Source organism: Homo sapiens, chromosome 4 (assembly GCF_000001405.40).
Source record: "Homo sapiens chromosome 4, GRCh38.p14 Primary Assembly".
Lineage (NCBI taxonomy): Eukaryota > Metazoa > Chordata > Mammalia > Primates > Hominidae > Homo > Homo sapiens.
In genome coordinates, this window is record NC_000004.12 from 131404742 (window position 1) to 131428652 (window position 23911).

The 23911-nt window shown below is 37.2% G+C and overlaps 1 long non-coding RNA gene across 33 annotated transcripts in view; it reads left to right on the forward strand.

Moving 5' to 3' along the window:
• The window catches only part of LINC02377 (long intergenic non-protein coding RNA 2377), a 338568-nt gene that overhangs the window by 24985 nt on the left and 289672 nt on the right, over positions 1-23911 (forward strand). For 17 of the 33 annotated variants that reach the window (NR_183920.1, NR_183918.1, NR_183919.1 and 14 more), the window contains exon 2: positions 22759-22876. The exons of 14 other annotated variants lie outside the window; for them this stretch is intronic. This is a non-coding gene — a long non-coding RNA (long intergenic non-protein coding RNA 2377). Of the gene's footprint in view, positions 1-9677; positions 9790-22758; positions 22877-23911 lie in introns of all 33 variants that reach the window. 2 more of the 33 variants (NR_183935.1, NR_183951.1) reach the window with 1 other exon arrangement.

Below are 23911 nucleotides of genomic sequence, written 5' to 3' on the forward strand. Positions count from 1 at the left end.
CCCATAATGCTAATAAAACAGGGATAAGAAGATAACAGTATATTGTCAATGAAAAATCAGAGATTTCAGGATTAAGATGTTTGTCTATGCAAGATCTTTATATCAAGGATAGATTCATGTTTTGTATCATTTCTTAAGCATTTAATTCATTTAAAAATATGTACTAAGTGCTATTATACCTCTCTGGACTTTTGCAGGCAAGATATATTGAAGAAATATTATTCTTTATTTATAATGTAGGATTAATCTATCATATCTGATACAAGTAAAATTAACAAAGCAGCAATAAAGTGATAGAGAAAACACTTGTTTTAATAGTCAATGAGCTAGTTAAATCAGGAATCTTGATTCTCTGTGCCAGCCCTGATCACTTCACAGAACATAAGTGAGAAGGAATTAGCATTACAGTTTTTAAGACATTGTATTTTTGTGACTTTTCTTTATAGTGTGTTAACCTCAATTCTACCTAATAAAATATTTGGATTCAAGCAGTGAAATGCTATCATAAAATAGCCCAAGAAAGGCATTTTTTATCAGTTGAGAAAGAAACAGCAAATACACAGATGCTATAAATTAGAAAGCTGTAACTTTTAGTAGTCTATGATAATATTTGGTAGTATTATCACCTACTTTACTTTGGAAAACATACCACATGCAAACTGAGTTTAGCTTTGGGGCACTATTGAAGGTCAGAATTTTGGCATATAAGGCTACCTCCTGTTTCTTTTAATAAAGCCTGATTGAATTCCTCATTAACAAGCTGAAATGAATGTGAGTTTATTTCTGTCAAGAAAACATTTTTCTTTCTAGTTCCCCAAATCTAAATTATCTGATGATCTATTCATTTGAGTCTTCATAAGATTAAAAAAAGCTAATTATTTCTGCATTTCAAACTGAAGATCTTCTATGATGTGGCTTTAAAAATTAAGCCTCATCAAAAGATAAGCCAATGGATGCAAAACTTTCTCAAAAATGTCAGAATAAATGCTTTCTTTTAGGCACTATGAAACGCTTCAGAGAATAAGATCAGATTAACAATCTTTCATTTATAACTAAAGTTCTTTAAAGAAAAGTTCTCAATATAGCCTCCATTAAACTGACAGAAGAAAGATGAGATCACAGAATGCTATAAATACAAGATCAGAGTTTTTGAAACTAAGATGTATGTCTATACATGATCTTTGGCTATGTCAGAGGTGAATACAAGTTTTGTGAGGAGTCAAATGTATGCAGTATGTAGCTAATAGGCTGCTGAAAAGAATAATACAAAATTATGAACACAAAATTAGGTTCAGAGTCTTGTATGGAGTCTGTGGAAGCGAGGGGTCTTGACACTTAAACTTTATTAGCTTCATGGTAAATTCTTTCCTTGAAGCAGTTAATTTTGCATGGAGTTCATTATAAGTAAATAAGTAAACAGTGCATCTCAAATAACTATTAAACAGAGGTTACAACAACCTGTGATAGTATGAAAATAAGGCCAAAATCTGTACAGCTGCAGGACACTTTGAAGTACGTCAGAGGACAATGGATAAGGAGTACATTAAAATCTCCCACTATAACTGTAGGCTTGCTTCCTTTTTGCTACTAGTTACTCTAATTTTTTATTTATATATTGTAAGATTATCATATTAGGGTCATGCAAATTGATATTTTTACCTTTTAATTGCATTAGCTTTTTGCTTCATGATAATGTTATTTTTACCCATTTTCTCTTTTAAGTATTGCTCTGTCTTTGTCTCTTCTTATTCTGGGATTCTAATTACGCATTTCTTAAAACCCCTCACTGTATCCCCATGTCTTTTACAGTCTCTTTTATATATATATATTTTGTTTCTTTACATTTTATTTTACATAATCTCTTCTTTCTCTAGTGAACTAATTATTCAGATGTATTGGATTTTTTGGTAAGTTAATTTACTGAATTTTTGATTTTTTCAATATTTTGTTGTTTTGGAGATAATTTTTGTTTAGTTCTTTGCTTGCAGTTTCTACTTTTTTGCCAAATTTGCATGTTTTCTGAAACATACGAGTATACTTATTTTAACAACTGATTCTAATAACTTCATGTCTGAATTTCTTGTGGCACTGATTGTATTTTTTTCTTAAATTTCAATCATCTGATGTTGACTCCTTGTGATTGTATTTATTTTTACTTGTGTGCTGAAACTTATATAAAATTAATTGTAGAAATAATGTCAGACTTTTAATGAAAGTGTCTTCTTTATGTCATGAGGTATGTTTGTTGCTGTCTGCAGTCCCTGATTGGGCTGGTCTATATTCAACTTACCTTTCTTAAACAATGTAGCCCTCTGACGTCCAATCAAAAGTATTTTATCCTGATTCTGTCCCTTTCCTGCTGACAATGACTAAAAAGGCTGGAAAAGAACTAGAAAATGTCAAGACAGCTACTGAGGGAATGAATAATAATGAGATCAGTATTCAGAATTAAGAAAAAAAAATTTAAACGACAGTGAAGTGTTTTTATGGAGTTTGGGCCAGTTTTCTCTTAGGATTCAATTCTACATGGCACGGCAAAACTGAGGAGCGGAATAGCATTTTTACGATTTACACATAATTTAAAATATTTTAATTTGACTCCATATTACAGTGTGGGCAAGTAAAGAAACCTAATCCATTTTAAGAATAAGTCTGCAGGTGGCAATTTTATAGCCCTTTCGTAACACATAAAGACAGGAAACAACGGTAACCATATTGAGACCATATGTCAGCAGGAAGGACATGAGCTCATAGTTATGAGTCCACTTTAATATGAAATCTTAACATGCAAATTGTCTTTCTGTTATTTATCCTTGAAGTAGACAGATCACTGTCTAACATATACTCTTCTACAAATACAAGGACAAAGAAGTAGCACACATATTCTGATTTGCTGTTTTTTTATTCAAGTTGTCTCAGATAACATAGTGAGAATGATTTGCTACATTAAATTATTCTGCTTTTGCTATTTGGTATGTGTGTTTTAGCATTGAATCCTGGCAATAGTGATTACAAAGGAACTTTATTCTGTTTGAAAAAATGTTTATTAAACTGTTGATTTTTATTACAGTAAATCTGCTTTTTGATCCCAACCTATTAAGCTCTGATTTATCTTTCACCCTTTAAACAATAACACTTATTTGAAGCACCATTTTCCTCCTCAGAGCTCAAATTAACTTTTATTCCACAAATGATGGTGATTTTTAAAAATTTTAGTGAAATTTTATTTCTAAATGTATTTGATAGTAAAACACTCACAGTAAACACAATGTCAGACAACATGTCTGCATAAGCAAACAGGTTAATACATGTTACCTTCTTTAACTCAGCTATATAAAGATAAGGATGTGTCCTAATCATGGTACCAATATGTCACTGAAAAATCAAAACCCGTTAGTATGTAGTTGATTTTGGTATATACACAGGCATTTGCCTTCTAGTTCTGGACATGTGGTAATGAAATGGGAAATGTTCCCTTGTCCCTCTAGCAGGGCATGCGATGGGGCTGTGGCTGGCTTCTTCATTCAGTGCCCCGATGCTCACACCTCGAGGGGGAGCATTCAGATGGGCAGACTGTGGGGCTCTGACCCCATAGCAGCGGCTAGGGATGAATGTTTACAGCTGCAGTACCCGTGGTTGTGTGTTACAGTGTCTTATTTCAGTTTAGCTTCTTCAGTTTTAGTTTAGGTGGCTTGTGTTAGTTTAATTAGACCCCTTGCCTAATCGCAAGGACAGGAGACTTTCTGTATCCCACGGTTTCTTGCCTTGGTGTACCAAAAGAATCGGATCACACGTGGGCTTGGAGAATGAGTTCAAGGTTCTATTGAGTAGTGGTAGCTCTCAGCAGATGGATAGAGAACCAAACCAGAAAGGGGATGGAGTGGAAGGTGGTTTTCACCTGGAGTCGGGCTGACCAGCAGCTGGGCTCTCCTCCCACTACCCTGGCCAACAACTCTGTGTCATTCTGCCGGTCAGCCTGCCAGAATCTGCTGGTGTCTCAGTGTGTTCTGCCAGCATGCTCCTCTCGACATCCAGTTGCTTGTGTTTTCCTCTGCTGGTGTGTTCCTCTCGATGTCTAGCTGCTTGTGTCTCTGCCTGCTAGAGTCTCAGGGTTTTTATAGGCACAGAGTGGGAGTGTGGCAGGTCAGGGTGGTCTTAGAAAATGCAACATTTGAGCACAAAAACGGGAGTGCCTGTCCTCACCTAGGTATGTGGGCACAGGCCCAGGAGTGGAGATCTCTCCAGGGACCCCACTCTTCTCCTCCCAGCACTTCCCTACCCCTTTCTAGTATCAGTAATATTGTTCCTTCCCACCCCTGTGAAATTGGGTATTGCCCTGTGGTGTTTTAGATGCTGAAGAATTTGATGGAATGGTTATTGTCATTTCAGAGCAAAAGCTTTAAAGGATGTTATACTATGTGTTATAATGCTTTCCCCACCAAAATGATAGTGTTAGGATGCATGAGGATGGCCTGCATCAGCCTGGATCTTTAAAGGACAATCGCAAGCATTTTCCCCAAATCCATTGCAGACATATCACATGGATAAGAAATAAACATTACTTATTTTAAGACAGTTATTTTAGAATTGTCGTAACTGCAGCAAATCTAGTCTATTTTGAATTATGTATTACCAAAGGCTCCCCATCTTCCACATCTAAAAGCATGTAGCTATAGATCTAGTTTATTTGGGAACTATAATATTATTCTTCAACAGTTTTCTTTCATATGACCACAAATTTTTAAAGATGCATGAACACACAAAAGTCATATTTATGTATTTTAATCCAGCCTGAACAGTAATACTAATAGAATTTACTATAATGAAGACCAATGAAGAAGCAAAATAACGGTATGTGAACAAGAGTTAGTTCTGAATTGGAGAAAATGAAAGTTAGGTATGATTTTAGAATTATGTATTTATAATAGCTTAAAGCTCAGACATACCACAGATATCAGTTTTTTTCCTCTTCTTTATTTTGTAAATTGACACATTGGATCCATTGAGTTTACTAAAGATATATCAGGAGTGGGAGAGCTAGATCTAGAACTGTGTTTTCAGTATTCCCAATCCAGTGCCCTCTTCAGACAGAAAAGTGAAGTCAGTTTAACTGCTTTTAACATTTAACTGCTTGGTTTTTTAATGGGCCTTAATTTACTCAAAATATGTGAGTAGATGAAAGAATTGAAATCATTTTCTATAACTTTCTCTCATTAGTTCCAGGTCATTCTAAATGACAAATGTTTTATATGAGAAAAAAAGTAAGTCCTGTCTGAATTTTACACCCAATGGAGGCCGAACAAAACCATTACCGCCTAAAACATACATAAGTAATGGATAAATTATGAAAAGAGAAGTGTAGGTGAGCTCAAGAGCAAGAACATGATCTGCCATAAACAAAGAGGTATCCCAAAGGCAGAGTAAGAAATAGGGGCTATCAAGATTGCAAGTCTCAAGCCCCACAGATGGTTAAGTAGCAGGACGTTATTCTCTACATAAAGCAAAGAAAACTGTCAGGATAAAGCTATCTCTCATTCATGAATTAGGATTAGAAAAATTCTATTCATCATCCTAGAGATATATTCTAGAAATTGGTTGCCCATTCTGGATGTAAATGGAATAACACACAAGATTTATGAAGCCTTAGACGCTATTCTGCATGAGTGTGGTAACAAAATTTGCTGTGTGCATGTGTACTGAGACTCCAGGTTAAGGAACAAACCCCAAAATTGGTCTTGACCCAATAAATGACACACAGTACAGACTGAGATGAATGGGAAATTACCCCACAATATTTTATTTACAAACAAGATCACGTGAATGACTTTTATGTCTGTTACCAAAACACCAGGGGTTTGGTCTAGGTCCTGCTCCTCACCACACAGAAAGCCAATCACTGAGACAATGAATATTCCCAGGAAAGAAGGTTTTAATCCAGTGCTGTCGCCGACGAGATCAATCTCAAATCCATCTCCCTGACTGACTTAAGTTAAGGGTTTTTACAGCAAGGAAAGAATGCAGCTGTGTGAGGAAACAGGAACTAGGGAAGGGTGAGGAAGAATAGTTGGTTAACAACAAGCAGGTGGTCAGTTAGGAAAATATGAACTGAGAGGAGTAAGGAAGCAATCATGACAAATGAGAGTCCTGGTATCTCATTGTCTGGGTGCTGTGATATAGTGAGTTTTATTTCTGTGATACTTTTGAAGAGGCTGAGGGTCTTCTGATAAAGGAACTCAGATAAAACAAATGAAAGTTTCAAGCCTTAAGACCAGAAAGATCAATTTCTATGTTTATCAAAAAAAAATGTCAATGGGACTATTGGATTGGTTTCAGATCTTGCTAATGTTCTGTTAAACACACACATGGACATTCATACACATACATACATACAGATATGAGTAAATCCTCTAAGGTTCCATTTAGTCAGTGGATAAAAGAAGAAGCACAATTATACTAGAGTAAATGAAAATAATATTAAAAATACAGAGGGCATTATAAAACTAGGTTAAGTTTTTTTAAAGACTAGAGCAAATAGAATGCAAAAAATAAATCATTAAAAGATAATGACAATAACAGATGATTAATAGATAATATTAATAAATAATAATAAAACTACAAATCATCTAGACAGAAAATTAAATGTGTGAAAATTAAAATAATCATTAAAATAAGATAAACATTCAATAAATAGGTTAAAATAGACTAGTAATACATAAAAAGAAAAGTAAGAAATTGAAAATCATATCTAATTCTGAGGAATCTGTGTCCTGACCAAAAAAACCACGTGTGATTTTTCAGGCTGAATTATGGCTAATTACAAAGGCTTGATGCACAGTCAACACTGACAGTCTCAGAGGGGAGCTGCAGTCAAGGACTCAGGCTTCTCTTGCCAGCCATGCTGTTATACACATTTACATTCCTAGCCAGGCACCTTTATCTCTAGGTCTCTTTACCTGAGGCTTTGCCACCACTGATAAGACCTTTCTATGGAAGAGGAAGAGTAGAACCTTTAAGACACTGTTTCCCAATCTTACATAGTACTCAGAGCTTTCTACTCCTAGCCCTTCCCCCCATTTTTCTTGCCCTTATCCCCCCTCCCCACCCTATAACCCACAAAACTTCAGGAGCCTTTTGTTCAAGGTTCTCGTGGCAGTGGGATGAACCTCACATCTGTGTTGGAGGGTCAAGCTTCACTTGACCCTCACTTGACCCTCCACTGGTATGCTGTTCGGTGGGGGAAAAATAAAACAAGGAAGAGTCTAAATTTTCTCTGGTTTAGCCTCTTGCTTATACTATTATAATAAGTAATTAAAAACTTTACCATTACTTCCATTTTTAATCTGCTAATCTGACACCTGGCAGCTCAGCTATCCCTCTCCAGGTGGTTCAACTCCTGTCAAAGTCAATAGGACAAGGTGCTACATAATAATGTATTAAAATGACAAATACAAAAAAATTAAGAGATGTGAAGGGTGAGATAAAAAAAATCATACATCTAATGAGTCTTACGAGGTAGCACTAGAGTGATAAATAACAACAAATACTAGTTATTTGAAAAGGCAAATAAATATATCATTGGCAAAACTGAGCAGAATTTTAAAGAGTAAAAAATAAATGATGAAAATATAAGAAAGGACAGCAGTAGATTATTTATAGTATTAAAAAGTTTTCAAAACTAAGAATAATTTTATGCCAATAATTTTGACAATATAGATGAAAGAGATGCAGAATATCTAAGTTATTCATAATAACCCAAATGATAGAAATAGATAAATGGCCTAAGCAAAATTTTAAGATGGCCCCACACTCATTGGTGTGGAAGTCCTCAAGGGAGTCCTTTTAAAGAGTATTTAGAGTACAGAGGTGAAAGAAGTCACAGAGACTTAAAGCTGCAGCAGCTTCTCTTGTTAACCTTGAAGAAGCAAACAGCCTTGTAAAGAGGTGCAGAATCCTGTGGGCAGCTTCTGAAGGGTGAGGATAGTCCTCCATTGACAACCAGTCAAAAAATTGTAACCTCAGTCCTACAACCTCAAGAAACTAAATTTTACTAACAGCTTTAATGAGGTTGAAAGAAGACTTCAAGCCTCTGGAGATGCTACTGTTCTGGCCAACACTTGATTTTAGGCTGGTGTGGGACCCAGCTAACCCCTACCTGAATTCCTGACCCACAGAAATGAACATAAAAAATGGGGGATATTTTCCATTACTTAACTTCATGGTAATTTGTTATGGATTAAGAGAAAACCAATAAAATAAACAACTCACCAATTCATTCTATAAAGTTACAACCTTGTTAAAAATATGTAAATATTTTGAAGGAAAAAGAAATGAAAGATAAATATATGACAATAATTTAAAATATTAGCAAAGTAGCAATACAAGAGGGCCTCTCTCAAGAAACATATGTTTAATAGTATATATAAAAGAGTCATATATACAAAACATTTATACTAATAAATCTTTAAAAATATTTGCCTTCCATGTAATCATTTATATTTTTATTTTAGGGTAAATGAGTTCCCAAAGTGCAAATTATGTCAATTTAACATAAAGACAATTTTGCCAATTATTTTTAAAGTTAGTATTCTTTTGTTTCTTAGTCAAAACTTCCAATAATGTTGTGCAATATTTTTAATTCACAGTTCTACCCCATCTATAATTTAATACTGATTAAGTATTTACATATGTAATATGTTTTTTATCAATTGTTGGAAAAAAATAATAAAATATTTTCTCATTTTAAAATAATTTATTGATAAATTAAGTAACAACTAAGGTATGTGCCAATCATTGCCTTATACTCCTTTAAACAACAAATGTAATCTCTAAACAAAAAAAACTTAAGTAAAACATTGTAACAAATTTAATATTTACAACTGTTTTATGACATTGGAGTATTATCTTCACAAAGAGATGAGTATCTTTTCCAGTGTTGTGTAGCTGCTAAGTGGTAGAGCTGGGATTTGAACTAAAGCACTCAGATTTTAATACGACATCATTAATCATTATGTTACTGCTCTATGCTAAAAATAGTAGGGTAGAGAAAAAGGTAACTCTTATCTATATCTCCATATATTAGTATTGGAAAGATGAGTCACAATGATAAGTATTAACACATTTTTCAGTGCAGGAGTTTATTTAAAAATAATCTGTAGGGTAACAGTTTTCAAATGGAATCAACAAAATCAAAACATATGTGACAGACTTGAAGAAAATATTACCAAAATATGAATAGAGATGTGAATAATTCATAAGTTCTAGACAAGCAAAACAAGCACAATAAATCGATACACAAAAAGATGAACATTTCACGGAAAAGAAATGTTAGAGGAGAAATAAATGTATACAATTATTTTTATCCTAGCTGGGAGAGAAGTGACAGTTAATACAATAAGATAAATCTTACAACTATCATATTGTAAAAAATAAAACAAAATTTTCTAAGATCCAGGATTGTTGAAGGTATAGAAAAAATAATAATTTTATATTTTGTTTATCTGACAGTGAATTGAACCCGCCTTTTTCAAACAGAGTTTAGCATTCTTTAAAAATAATTTCTGGGAAGTGGCTAAGATAGCCGACTGAAAGCAGCTAGCGTGCATGGCTCTCACGGAGAGAGACGAAAGGGGCAAGGGAACACAGCACCTTCAACTGAAACATCCATATACTTGCGTTAGGACTAATCAAGAAAACAACTTGACCCATGGAGAATGGAGAAAAGCAAGGCAGGATGATCATCCACCAGGCAGCAATACGGAACCAAGGGGACCTCCCCTGCCCTAGGAAGTGGTGAGTGAATGTGCAACCCTGGGAACCCACACTAGTCCCACTGATCTTTGCAACTCTCGGGTCAGGAGCCCGCCGACATGAACCCACTCCACTAAGGCCTTCAATCTGAGTGGAGTCTTGGCAGAACAGCCACTCAGGCACACGTAGAGACCCAGGAGCTTTAGATACTCTGGCTGTCTGGCAAAAGTAGCTGCAACTCCAGCAAAGTGGGAGTTTAGACCCCGTGCATACCCCTAGAAAAGAGTTTGAATTTAGGGGGATGAGCAGTGATAGTTTGCAGGCCCCGCTTCCACGGTGCCTCACAGGATAAGACTTAAAATTCCAGCCAGGCACTGGTAGCAGCATTGCACCTCCCTGGGACATGGCTAGACTAACTTTTTAAGTGGGTCCTCAATCTTGTTCCTACTGACTGGGTGAGAATTCTGAACAGGGGTGTTTAGCCAGCATTCTGGCTGGCAACAGGCCTGTACTTTCCTGGGACAGAGCTGCCAGAGGGAGGTGCAGGCTGCCATCTTTGCTGTTTGGCAGCCTTCACTGGTGTTACTTCCAGGTACTGGAAAATCCGAGTTGACTAGGGACTGAAGTGGACCCCCAGCATACTGCAGCTGCCCTACAGAAAAGTGGACAGAATTTTAAATGGGTGCCCATTCCCATATTTCCCAACTGAATAGTTCCTCCAGGCCTGAGCCTCTAGCCACCCCCTACTAAAGCTACTGAGCCAGTAGCAGCTCAGCAACTCCCTGGACAGACCCTCCAGGGGCAACTGAAAGACACTCTAATGCTGCCTCTACAATTGAACTGCCCTTGCCACCTTTTGACTAATGAAGGAGCAAATACCCTGAGTGCCTTATCCACACTTCCAACAAGCTGCAGTCAACCCAAGGAGAGGAAGACAGTCTGTCTCCCATGGGTCCCACATATCCCCCACTGCTTATCACCAGACAGGGAACCCCTAGCTTGCTTTTACAGCACAGACCCTACATCCAGGGATAATTGCACTAAGCAGTTGCTAACTCACATCTCTCTGGTGTGGAGCAACCAATAGACAAGCAAAGTGGGTTAGCAGCAAGCCAGCTGATGTGGAGCCCACAGAGTTTGGTGCAGGAGCATCTGTAGCAGAGCATGTCCAGGGCCAGCCATCTTTCTAAGCCCGACTTGCTCCCATAAGAGACTTAGCCCTAGGAAATTGTCAGACCTGATCTCTGCAGGGCAGTCTTGCACATCAGATGGGACTGGTCAGACCTGAGCACTCCTTGGTGTGCTGGCCTCTCCTGGGAACCCAGCCTAGTCTCATGCGCTTACAGGGCAGTTGTGGGTTCCCTGAGGGCCCATACCATAGCTTCTGTGCTGGTGCATTGTGCCTGACTGGTGGAGATCTCCACTGAGGCGGCTCCTACACTCACACACCAGCCCACATATTTTCTCCCCATACTGCAGCTTCCCCCATGTGCAGCAACTCTGCACATCAATTTGCTGGTACATGTCTGCACAGAAAATTTTTGCTTCACTTGCCAGCACACAGGAGTGCAGCACATCCCCTACCCCCACTGACCACCATTGCAGACTGACCCTTGGTGGGTTCAGAGTCAGCAAGCCCCACATCTGCCAGCACCCCGCTCTTGCACTAACGCTGTGCAAAGAACAGGAGATCTTCCCACACCCTGAGTGATGGCTTCTGCCTGCAGGGCACAGAGAAGGCACCTAGACCTGAGCTGGCCAGCAGCCTGCTCCAAATAATGAAATTAAGGCAAAAATTCACGAAGTTATTTGACACTAATGAGAACAAAACTACAACATACTAGAATCTCTGGGACACAGCCGAGGCAGCATTAAGAGGGAAATTTATAGCACTAAATGCCCACAAAAAGTTAAAAAGATCTCAAGTTAACAACCTAACATCACATCTGAAAGAATGAGAGAACCAAGAGCAAACAAATTGCAAAGCCAGCAGAAGACAAAAGAATACCCAAAATCAGAGCTAAATTGAAGAAGACTGAGACACAACATATCATTCAAATTCAGGAGCTGTTTTTTGAAAAAATTAATAAAATGGGTAGTTTGCTAGGTAGACTAATAAGTAAGAAAATAGAGAAGATTCAAATAAACAGAATCAAAAATGACAAGGAAGATATTACCACTCACCTCAAAGAAATACAAACAACCATCAGAGAACATTATGAATAATATTATGAATATTATTTCCAGTTTATATTATGCACATAAACCAAAAAAAATCTAGAAGATGTGATAAATTCTTGGACACATACACCCTCCCAAGACTGAACCAGGAAGAATTTGAATCCCTAACCAGACCAATAAAGAGCTCTGAAATTTAGTCAGTCATAAATAGCCTACCAAGAAAGAAAAAGCACAGAACCAAATGGATTCATAGCTGAATTATAACAGATGCACAAAGAAGAGCTGGTTCCATTCCTACTGAAACTTTTCAAAAAAAAATTTAAGAGGAAGGACTCCTCCCTTACACATTTTATGAGGCCAGCGTCATTTTGATACCAAAACCTGGCAGAGATATAACAAGAAGAGAAAACTTCAGGCCAACATGTTTGATGAACATCAATACAAAAATCTTCTGTAAAATACTGGCAAAATGAATCCAGAAGCACATCAAAAAGCTTATCCACCACAATCAAGTAGGCTTCATCCCCAGGATGCAAGGTTGGTTCAACATATGCTAATCAATAAATGTGATTCATCACATAAATATAACTAAAAAGAAAATATTACATGATTATCTCAATAGGTGCAGAAAAAGCTTTAAATAAAATTCAACATATCTTCATGTGAAAAACTCTGAATAAACTAGGTAATGAAGAAACATACCTCAAATAATAAGAGCCATATGTGACAAACCCACAGCCAATATTATGCTGAATGGGCAAAAGCTGGAAGCATTCCCCTTGACAACTGGCACAAAAAAAAGAGTGTTCTTTCTCACCACTCCTATTCAACATAGTATTGGAAGTTCTGGCAATAGAAAGAAATAAAGAACATCCAAATAGGAAGAGAGGAAGTCAAACTATATTTGTTTGCAGATGGCATAATCCTACATCTAGAAAACCATCACATAGTCTCAGCCTAAAAGCTTCGTAAGCTGATAAACAACTTCAGGAAAGTTTCAGGATACAAAATCAATGTGCAAAAGTCACTAGTATTTCTATACACCAAATAAAGTCAAGCTGAGAGCCAAACCAGGAAGAAACTCATTCACTATTACCACAAAAAAATGAAATACCTAGGAATACAGCTAACTAGATAGGTAAAAGATCTCTACAAGAAGAACATCAAACCATGCTCAAAGAAAGCAGGGATGACAAAAACAAGTAAAAAACATCCATTCTCATGGATGGGAAGAATAAATTTCATGAAAATGGCCATATTGCAACAAGTAATTTATAGATTCAGTGCGATTTCTATTAGACTACCATTGACATTCTTCACAAAACTAGAGAAAACTATTTTAAAATCCATGTGGAACCAAAAGAGAGCCTGAATAGCCAAGACAATCCTAAGCAAAAAGAACAAAGCTGGAGGCATTATACTACCTGACTTCAAACTATACTACAAGGGTACAGTAACCAAAACAGCATGGTACTAGTACAAGAACAGATACATAGACCAATGCAACATAATAAAGAACCCAGAAATAAGAACACACACCTACAACCATTTGATCTTTGACAAACCTGCAAAAAACAAGCAATGGGGAAAGAATTCCCTATTTAATAAATGGTGCTGTGATAACTGGCTAGACATATGCAGAAGATTAAAACTGGACTCCTTCTTTACAATCTATGCAGAAATTAACTCAGGATGGATTAAAGATTTAAATGCAAAAGCCAAAATTATAAAAACCCTGAAAGACAACCTAGGCAATACCATTCAGAACATAGGCATGGTCAGAAGTTTCATGATGAAGATGCCAGAGCAATTGCAAAAAAAGAAAAAATTGACAGATGCGATATAACTAAACTTAAGAGCTTCTGCACAGCAAAAGAAACTATCAACAGAGTGCACAGACAACCTACAGAATAGGAGAAAATTTTTGCAAACTGTGCATCAGACAAAGGTCTAATATCCAGCATCTATAAGGAACTCAAACAAACTTACAAGAAAAAAAAAACCCTATTTAAAAGTGGGCAAAGGATATAAACAGACACTTCAAGAGTAGACATACATGTGGCCAATAATCACATGAAAACAAGTTCAACATCACTGGTCATTAGAGAAATGCAAATTAAAACCATAATGAGATACAATCTCACACCAGTCAGAATGGCTATTAATAAAAAGTAAAACAACAACAACAACAACAACAAAACAGAGCTGGCGAGGTTGTGGAGAAAAAGGAATGTTTATACACTGCTTTGGGAAATGTAAATTATTTCAATTATTGTGAAACACAGAGTGGCGATTCCTCAAACACATAAAGACAGAAAAACCTTTATGCCAGACAGAAATACTTCAAAGACATAAAGACAGAAATATTTATTTGACCCAGAACCCCCATTACTGGGTATAGACCCAAGGGAATATAAATCATTCTATTATAAAAATGCATGCATGTGTATGTTTGTGCAACACTATTCACAATAGCAAAGAAAATGGATCAACCTAAATGCCCATCAATGGTAGACTGCATTAAGAAAACGTTGTACATACATACCATGGAATCCTATGCAGCCAATAAAAAGAATCAGATCATTTACTTTGGAGGGACAGTTGGAGCTGGAGGCCATTATCTTTAGCAAACTAAGGAATAGAATACCAAATACCACATGTGCTCACTTATAAATGAGCGCTAAATGTGAGAGAACACGTGGGCACATAGATGGGAAAACACTCTGGGGCCTATGGGAGGGTAAAAGGTGGGAGGGGGAGAGGATCATGAAAAACAACTGATGAGTACTAGGCTTAATACCTGGGTGGTGAAATAATCTGCACAACAGACCCTCATGACACAAGTTTACCTGTGTAACAAACCTGCACATGTACCCCTCAACTTAAATAAATGTTAAAAAAAAAAAAAGTAAACTCAACTGTAAAAAAATTAAAATTAAAAAAAAGTGTAAATGTGATTGCCTTTTGACTTTTAAAATGATGCATGCCAATGAAAATAAACGTTATTTTCAAGGCTAGGATGTTAATGTCCTAAGATTATCAAGTTGCAACCTACTTCTAAGAGATCACTGAAGAAAGTATAAAATGATATACAGTTATTTTTAAAAGTTGTCAAATAAGTGGTATGGTTAGCTCCAAGAGTTCTAAAGCAAACATAAAAATACATTTTTACATCAAATATATTTATTTCTATCTGCACATACTTAAAATTTAATGTACTAGCAACCATTGTATATCAAATTTGAAAGTTTACTAATTTACATGTGGACTAACATGAGAAAAATTTTATTTTAAAAAAAGTCAGGAAAAGAAGAATTGAATGGGAGGAAGGGAAGATGAGAATTTAAAAAGACTACCAAGGTCCACTTGGTGCAGAGCTGAGTTCAATTCCTGGGTATCCTTGTTAACTTTCTGTCTCGTTGATCTGTCTAATGTTGACAGTGGGGTGTTAAAGTCTCCCATTATTGTTGTGTGGGAGTCTAAGTCTCTTTGTAGGTCACTCAGGACTTGTTTTATGAATCTGGGTGCTCCTGTATTAGGTGCATATATATTTAGGATAGTTAGCTCTTCTTGTTGAATTGATCCCTTTACCATTATGTAATGGCCTTCTTTGTCTCTTTTGATCTTTGTTGGTTTAAAGTCTGTTTTATCAGAGACTAGGATTGCAACCCCTGCCTTTTTTTGTTTTCTATTTGCTTGGTAGATCTTCCTCCATCCTTTTATTTTGAGCCTATATGTGTCTCTGCACGTGAGATGGGTTTCCTGAATACAGCACACTGATGGGTCTTGACTCTTTATCCAATTTGCCAGTCTGTGTCTTTTAATTGGAGCATTTAGTCCATTTACATTTAAAGTTAATATTGTTATGTGTGAATTTGATCCTGTTATTATGATGTTAGCTGGCTATTTTGCTCCTTAGTTGATGCAGTTTCTTCCTAGCCTCGATGGTCTTTACAATTTGGCATGATTTTGCAGTGGCTGGTACCAGTTGTTCCTTTCCGTGTTTAGGGCTTCCTTCAGGAGCTCTTTTAGGGCAGACCTGGTGGTGACAAAATCTCTCAGCATTTGCTTGTCTGTAAAGGATTTTATTTCTCCTTCACTTATGAAGCTTAATTTGGCTGGATATGAAATTCTGGGTTGAAAATTCTTTTCTGTAAGAATGTTGAATATTGGCCCCCACTCTCTTCTGGCTTGTAGAGTTTCTGCCGAGAGATCCGCTGGTAGTCTGTTTGGCTTCCCTTTGTTGGTAACCTGACCTTTCTCTCTGGCTGCCCTTAACATTTTTTCCTTCATATCAACTTTGGTGAATCTGATAATTATGTGTCTTGGAGTTTCTCTACTCCAGGAGTATCTTTGTGGCATTCTCTGTATTTCCTGAATCTGAATGTTGGCCTGCCTTGCTAGATTGGGGAAGTTCTCCTGGATAATATCCTTCAGAGTGTTTTCCAACTTGGTTCCATTCTCCCCATCACTTTCAGGTACACCAATCAGACGTCGATTTGGTCTTTTCACATAGTCCCATATTTCTTGGAGGCTTTGTTCCTTTCTTTTTATTCTTTTTTCTCTAAAGTTCCCTTCTCACTTCATTTCATTCATTTCATCTTTCATCACTGATACCCTTTCTTCTGGTTGATCGCATCAGCTCCTGAGTCTTCTGCATTCTTCACATAGTTCTCGAGCCTTGGCTTTCAGCTCCATCAGCTCCTTTAAGCACTTCTGTGTATTGGTTATTCTAGTTATACATTCATCTAAATTTTTTTCAAAGTTTTCAACTTCTTTGCCTTTGGTTTGAATTTCCTCCTGTAGCTCGGAGTAGTTTGATCGTCTGAAGCCTTCTTCTCTCATCTCGTCAAAGTCATTCTCCATCCAGCTTTGTTCCATTGCTGGTGAGGAGCTGCGTTCCTTTGGAGGAGGAGAGGCTACAGACATCTACAGAACTCTCCACCCCAAATCAACAGAATATACATTTTTTTCAGCACCACACCATACCTATTCCAAAATTGACCACATAGTTGGAAGTAAAGCTCTCCTCAGAAAATATAAAAGATCAGAAATTATAACAAACTGTCTCTCAGACCACAGTGCAATCAAACTAGAACTCAGGATTAAGAAACTCACTCAAAACCGCTCAACTACATGGAAACTGAACAACCAGCTCCTGAATGATTACTGGGTACATAATGAAATAAAGGCAGATATAGAGATGTTCTTTGAAACCAATGAGAACAAAGACACAACATACCAGAATCGTTGGGACACATTCAAAGCAGTGTGTAGAGGGAAATTTATAGCACTAAATGCCCACAAGAGAAAGCAGGAAAGATCCAAAATTGACACCCTAACATCACAATTAAAAGAACTAGAAAAGCAAGAGGAAACACATTCAAAAGCTAGCAGAAGGCAAGAAATAACTAAAATCAGAGCAGAAATGAAGGAAATAGAGACACACAAAACCCTTCAAAAAAGTAATGAATCCAGGAGCTGGTTTTTTGAAAGGATCAACAAAATTGATAGACCGCTAGCAAGACTAATAAAGAAGAAAAGAGAGAAGAATCAAATAGACTCAATAAAAAATGATAAAGGGGATATCACCACCGATCCCACAGAAATACAAACTACCATCAGAGAATACTACAAAGACCTCTATGCAAATAAACTAGAAAATCTAGAAGAAATGGATAAATTCCTCAACACATACACCCTCCCAAGACTAAACCAGGAAGAAGTTGACTCTCTGAATAGACCAATAACAGGAGCTGAAATTCTGGCAATAATCAATAGCTTACTTACCAACCAAAAAGAGTCCAGAACCAGATGGTTTCACAGCTGAATTCTACCAGAGGTACAAGGAGGAACTGGTACCATTCCTTCTGAAACTATTCCAATCAATAGAAAAAGAGGGAAACCTCCCTAACTCATTTTATGAGGCCAGCATCATCCTGATCCTGAAGCCGGGCAGAGACACAACCAAAAAAGAGAATTGTAGAGCAATATCCTGGATGAACATTGATGCAAAAATCCTCAATAAAATACTGGCAAACCGAATCCAGCAGCACATCAAAAAGCTTCTCCACCATGATCAAGTGGGCTTCATCCCTGGGATGCAAGGCTGGTTCAATATACACAAATCAATAAATGTAATCCAGCATATAAACAGAACCAAAGACAAAAACCACATGATTATCTCAATAGATGCAGAAAAGGCCTTTGACAAAATTCAACAACCCTTCATGCTAAAAACTCTCAATAAATTAAGTATTGATGGGACATATCTCAAAATAATAGGAGCTATCTATGACAACCCACAGCCAATATCATACTGAATGAGCAAAAACTGGAAGCATTCCCTTTGAAAACTGGCATAAGACAGGGATGCCCTCTCTCACCACTCCTATTCAACATAGTGTTGGAAGTTCTGGCCAGGGCAATTAGGCAGGAGAAGGAAATAAAGGGTATTCAATTAGGAAAAGAGGAAGTCAAATTGTCCCTGATTGCAGATGACATGATTGTATATCTAGAAAACCCCATTGTCTCAGCCCAAACTCTCCTTAAGCTGATAAGCAACTTCAGCAAAGTCTCAGGATACAAAATCAATGTACAAAAATCACAAGCATTCTTATACACCAATAACAGACAAACAGAGAGCCAAATCATGAGTGAACTCCCATTCACAATTGCTTCAAAGAGAATAAAATACCTAGGAATCCACCTTACAAGGGACGTGAAGGACCTCTTCAAGGAGAACTACAAACCACTGCTCAAGGAAATAAAAGAGGATACAAACAAATGGAAGAACATTCCATGCTCATGGGTAGGAAGAAACAATATCGTGAAAATGGCCATACTGCCCAAGGTAATTTATAGATTCAATGCCATCCCCATCAAGCTACCAATGACTTTCTTCACAGAATTGGAAAAAACTACTTTAAAGTTCATATGGAACCAAAAAAGAGCCCGCATCACCAAGTCAATCCTAAGCCAAAAGAACAAAGCTGGAGGCATCACGCTACCTGACTTCAAACTATACTACAAGGCTACAGTAACTAAAACAGCATGGTACTGGTACCAAAACAGAGATATAGATCAATGGAACAGAACAGAGCCCTCAGAAATAACGCCGCATATCTACAACTATCTGATCTTTGACAAACCTGAGAAAAACAAGAAATGGAGAAAGGATTCCCTATATAATAAATAGTGCTGGGAAAACTGGCTAGCCATATGTAGAAAGCTTAAACTGGATCCCTTCCTTACACCTTATACAAAAATTAATTCAAGATGGATTAAAGACTTAAACATTAGACCTAAAACCATAAAAACCCTAGAAGAAAACCTAGGCATTACCATTCAAGACATAGGCATGGGCAAGGACTTCATGTCTAAAACACCAAAAGCAATGGCAACCAAAGCCAAAATTGACAAATGGGATCTCTTTAAACTCAAGAGCTTCCGCACAGCAAAAGAAACTACCATCAGAGTGAACAAGCAACCCACAAAATGGGAGAAAATTTTCGCAACCTACTCATCTGACAAAGGGCTAATATCCAGAATCTACAATGAACTCAAACAAATTTACAAGAAAAAAACAAACAACCCCATCAAAAAATGGGCGAAGGACATGAACAGACACTTCTCAAAAGAAGCCATTTACGCAGCCAAAAAAAACATGAAAAAATGCTCACCATCACTGGCCATCAGAGAAATGCAAATCAAAACCACAATGAGATATCATCTCACACCAGTTAGAATGGCAATCATTAAAAAGTCAGGAAACAACAGGTGCTGGAGAGGATGTGGAGAAATAGGAACACTTTGACACTGTTGGTGGGACTGTAAACTAGTTCAACCATTGTGCAAGTCATTGTGGCAATTCCTCAGGGATCTAGAACTAGAAATACCATTTGACCCAGCCGTCCCATTACTGGGTATATGCCCAAAGGACTATAAATCATGCTGCTATAAAGACACATGCACACGTATGTTTATTGCGGCACTATTCACAATAGCAAAGACTTGGAACCAACCCAAATGTCCAACAATGAGGGACTGGATTAAGAAAATGTGGCACATATACACCATGGAATACTATGCAGCCATAAAAAATGATGAGTTCATGTCCTTTGTAGGGACATGGATGAAATTGGAAATCATCATTCTTGGTAAACTATCTCAAGAACAAAAAGCCAAACACCGCATATTCTCACTCATAGGTGGGAAATGAACAATGAGAACACATGGACACAGGAAGAGGAACATCACACTCTGGGGACTGTTGTGGGGTAGGGTGAGGGGAGAGGGATAGCTTTAGGAGATATACCTAATGCTAAATGACAAGTTAATGGGTGCAGCACACCAGCATGGCACATGTATACATATGTAACTAACCTGCACATTGTGCACATGTACCCTAAAACTTAAAGTATAATAATAATTTAAAAAAAAAAGACTACCAAGGAATTAGGGGAAGGAGGAAAATTGGAGAAAGGGTTAAAGAATAAAAACAATGAAAGCATTAAATGTGCAATTAAAATAGAATCTATGGTATGAATTAAGGAAGGAACAAATAAAGACAACTTAATAAACACTACAAGACCTTTACTTGTCAAATTTTAGAAAAAAACATACTTAGAAAAATTTTTATTAAAGTCTCATAATTAGTAAATAACTGTGTAGGAAAATGAAAATGGCTATACATACTTATAAATCAGGAAAAGCTTAGAGCACAGTATTGTTGTCAATTCTTATCTTTAGTTGGTATAAAAAATTTAAAAAGAAAATATGAAAATATAAAAGGTTTTACAGATGTTGTCATTTCCCTCACATATATATTAGGACTCATATATAATTATTCTCGAGACCATGAAGTGAATTAAGGAGTTGTGTTCTGGTAAAACAGATCCTGACAAATTCAAAGTTATAGGTATATGGGACCATAGAATGTATAGTATGGTTTCCTTTTCTGCATATATTCAAAATTTCCTTTATAGATTTTTCTTTTAATCCCCATGTCCCTGGTTTACAGATTTCAAGATATATTACACCAATGGGAAGGGATTAGCATACTGCCTGGCATTCAATGAGCATAGAAGTAATCATCCATATTATTGTGTCTGATTTAAAAATTGCCTTTGATAAGATGGACAAAATTACTTAAGATTAAGTTCATCTATGTTATTAAGAGGACCTTTTACCTCTCCATGAAAGAGAGAAAGAAAGAAGGAGAGTAAAAAGAAAGAAAGAACAAAAGAACGAAAGAAAGAAAGGAAGGAAGGAAAAAGAAAAAAGAGAAAGAAAGGAAGGATGGAGGGAAGGGAAGGGAAGGGAGAAGGAAGGAGAGAGAGAGAGAGAAAGAAAGGAAGGAAGGAAGGATGGAAGGAAAGAAGGAAAAAAAAAAGGAAGGATGGAGGGAAGGGAGAAGGAAGGAGAGAAAGAAAGAGAGAAGGAAAGAGAGAGAAAGAAGAGAGAGAAGGAAGGAGAGAAAGAGAAAGAGAGAAGGAAAGAGAAAGAAGAGAGAGAAGGAAGGAAGAAAAGGAAGGAGAAAGAAGGACGGAAGGAAGGAAGGAAAGGAAGGAGAAGAAAGGAAGGAATGAAGGAGAAAATAAGGAAGGAAAGAAAAAAGGAAGAAATGAAGGAAGGAAAGAGAGAAAAAAGGAAGGAAAGAAGGAAAGATGGAAGGAAGGAGCGAGAGAGAGAGAGGAAGGAAGGAAGGAAAAAAGAAAGGAGGACAAAAAAAGAAAGAAAAAATGAACAAACAGATTTGGGCAGAGGCTTAAATTAGGGTTTCCTTGAGCTCTCCAGAGCTCCAGTTATTTTGAGTAAATCTACTTCCCCTTTGCATACCCACACCACCCACTCACCAGATTATTGTCTCCATCATGACTAAAAACTGCCTATGCAACCAGTTCCCCAAAATAGATTGTGTTGTAATGGAGGTTTCCCTGACCCAATCAATCATTCAGGCACCACCAGTAGGTAAAGCCTCCAGGTTGTACATCATCACCAGGGCTTGCCTCCATCAGTCTGGTCTGATCCAAAAATCACCATCCCCAACCAAGCGATGTACTGTACCTTCTGGAATTTCCAGCCTGATCTAAGCAAGATTCTACAGTTTTCAATATTTTAAAGAATATTTTTGTTTCACTTGCAATTGATTGTTTCCATCTGTAACATATTCTTTGCTAACTGGGTTAACAAATATAGGCATATTTTTCTCACATAATCTGAAGTCCACATATAGGCAGTTCCTAGCTTTGGTTCGGTCTCTGTTCAGGCTCTGCAATTCTCAGAATGTTGGTTTGTTGTCTTCATAATTTTGCCTTGCCTCTTAGTCATAAGAAGGCTGATGTATCTCAAATCATCTGGCCATATTTGAATCTGATAAGATTTTAAAAAATGGAATTTGTCCTGTTGTGTCTGCTGCTTGAGCAAGAAAACAAAAGCTCTCCAATGACTCATTCTTACCACTTACTGGTTAAATACAGGTTGTGTGACCTCCTGTAGTTGTAAGAGATACTGTTTTAATTATGGAAAATGGGCTTCCTGAGAAAGAGAAAGGCAGCCTGTGTCATTCAAAGCTAGCCCGCTACTATCGGCTATGCTTTGGTGGTGACAGAAGCTGGCCTGCTGCTCACAGTGAGGCCTTGGTGTTTTCTGTTGAACATAAGGACTTTTTTGGAATATTAGTGGAATATTAACATCAGACAAGGCAAATCTGCAACTGTGATTAATCAATGAAAAACAAGTTAGTAACATAAACTTGTATGATCACAGTATAAAATATATTTTTCTAACCACAAAAATGTCTAAATGTCTGCTGATTTTTTGAAACAGAGTCTCACTTTGTTGCCTAAGCTAGAGTGCAGCGTCGTGATCAAGGCTCACTGCAGCCTCAACATCCTGATCCCCAGTGTTCCTCCCACCTCAACCTCCCAAGTAGCTGGGACCACAGGTATGTGCCACCACAATGAGCTAATTTTTATTTTTGTAGAGTCCTAGAGAAGTCTCCCTATGTTGGCTGGTCTCTAACTTCTGGGCTCAAATGAAACCCCCACTTCAGCCTCCCAAAGTGTTGGGATTAAAGGCATGAACGGCATCTGGCCCCCTTATCTTAACTAATAGGAACAACTGCCTCTTCTTTAACAGTTACTAGTTTATCCTTGGCCTAGTCTTTCCTTCTTATAGGTAAGATGAATTAAAATGATCATAGATTGCCCCCTGCCTCTTGATAGCATCCCATCTAGAGCAAAGCCTTGCTACCCAAAGTCCATTTCAATCTCAACCAAAGTCCAAAAATATAATAATTCCTTTGTAACATCTTACTAAAATGCCCCACATTTCCCCATGGTGTGTGTCTCACCTCCTCACAATGTGTTGGTCAAGTACAAGTGTGCTCCCAGGGGTCTTTACCTGGAAAGCAGTGGTGAATACCTCCACTCTTTGACTTCTCTAGTTCCAATAGCCTGTTGCTCCAAGTCACTCAGTCAGAAACTCCCATTGTTATATTCTAAGCTTCGTGATTGTCAGTAGCTGTAGAACTATAAAAAAATCTCAGTTTCAAGCATCCCACTTTAATCAACACTTACCTTTTTCCAACACTTTCTAATTTGTCTTTTTTTAGTGCCTACATTCCAAAAATATTTTTACTTCCTTAAAGTCTGTAATGAATTGACTTGACCCATTTTTTTCTATCTCATTAGCCATTTCTGTGCTGATCTTTTCTAGATATTATTCATGCTTGGTCCATTTTGTACTCTTCATTGCCCTTGGCCATTTATACATTTATACACAGTCCTTGCTCCAATTTTTCTATTAAACATATTTCATATAACTGCAACCTTGATAGAAACTAAATTCTCTATCTGTTCTGTTCCTTTCCTGGAAGAGCAGAATGTGCACATACATGAAAGATAACTGATCCATTCATCCATATAAAAAATAACTTTTCTGACTTAAATATGTATCTACAAAATTTGTGTTTCATACT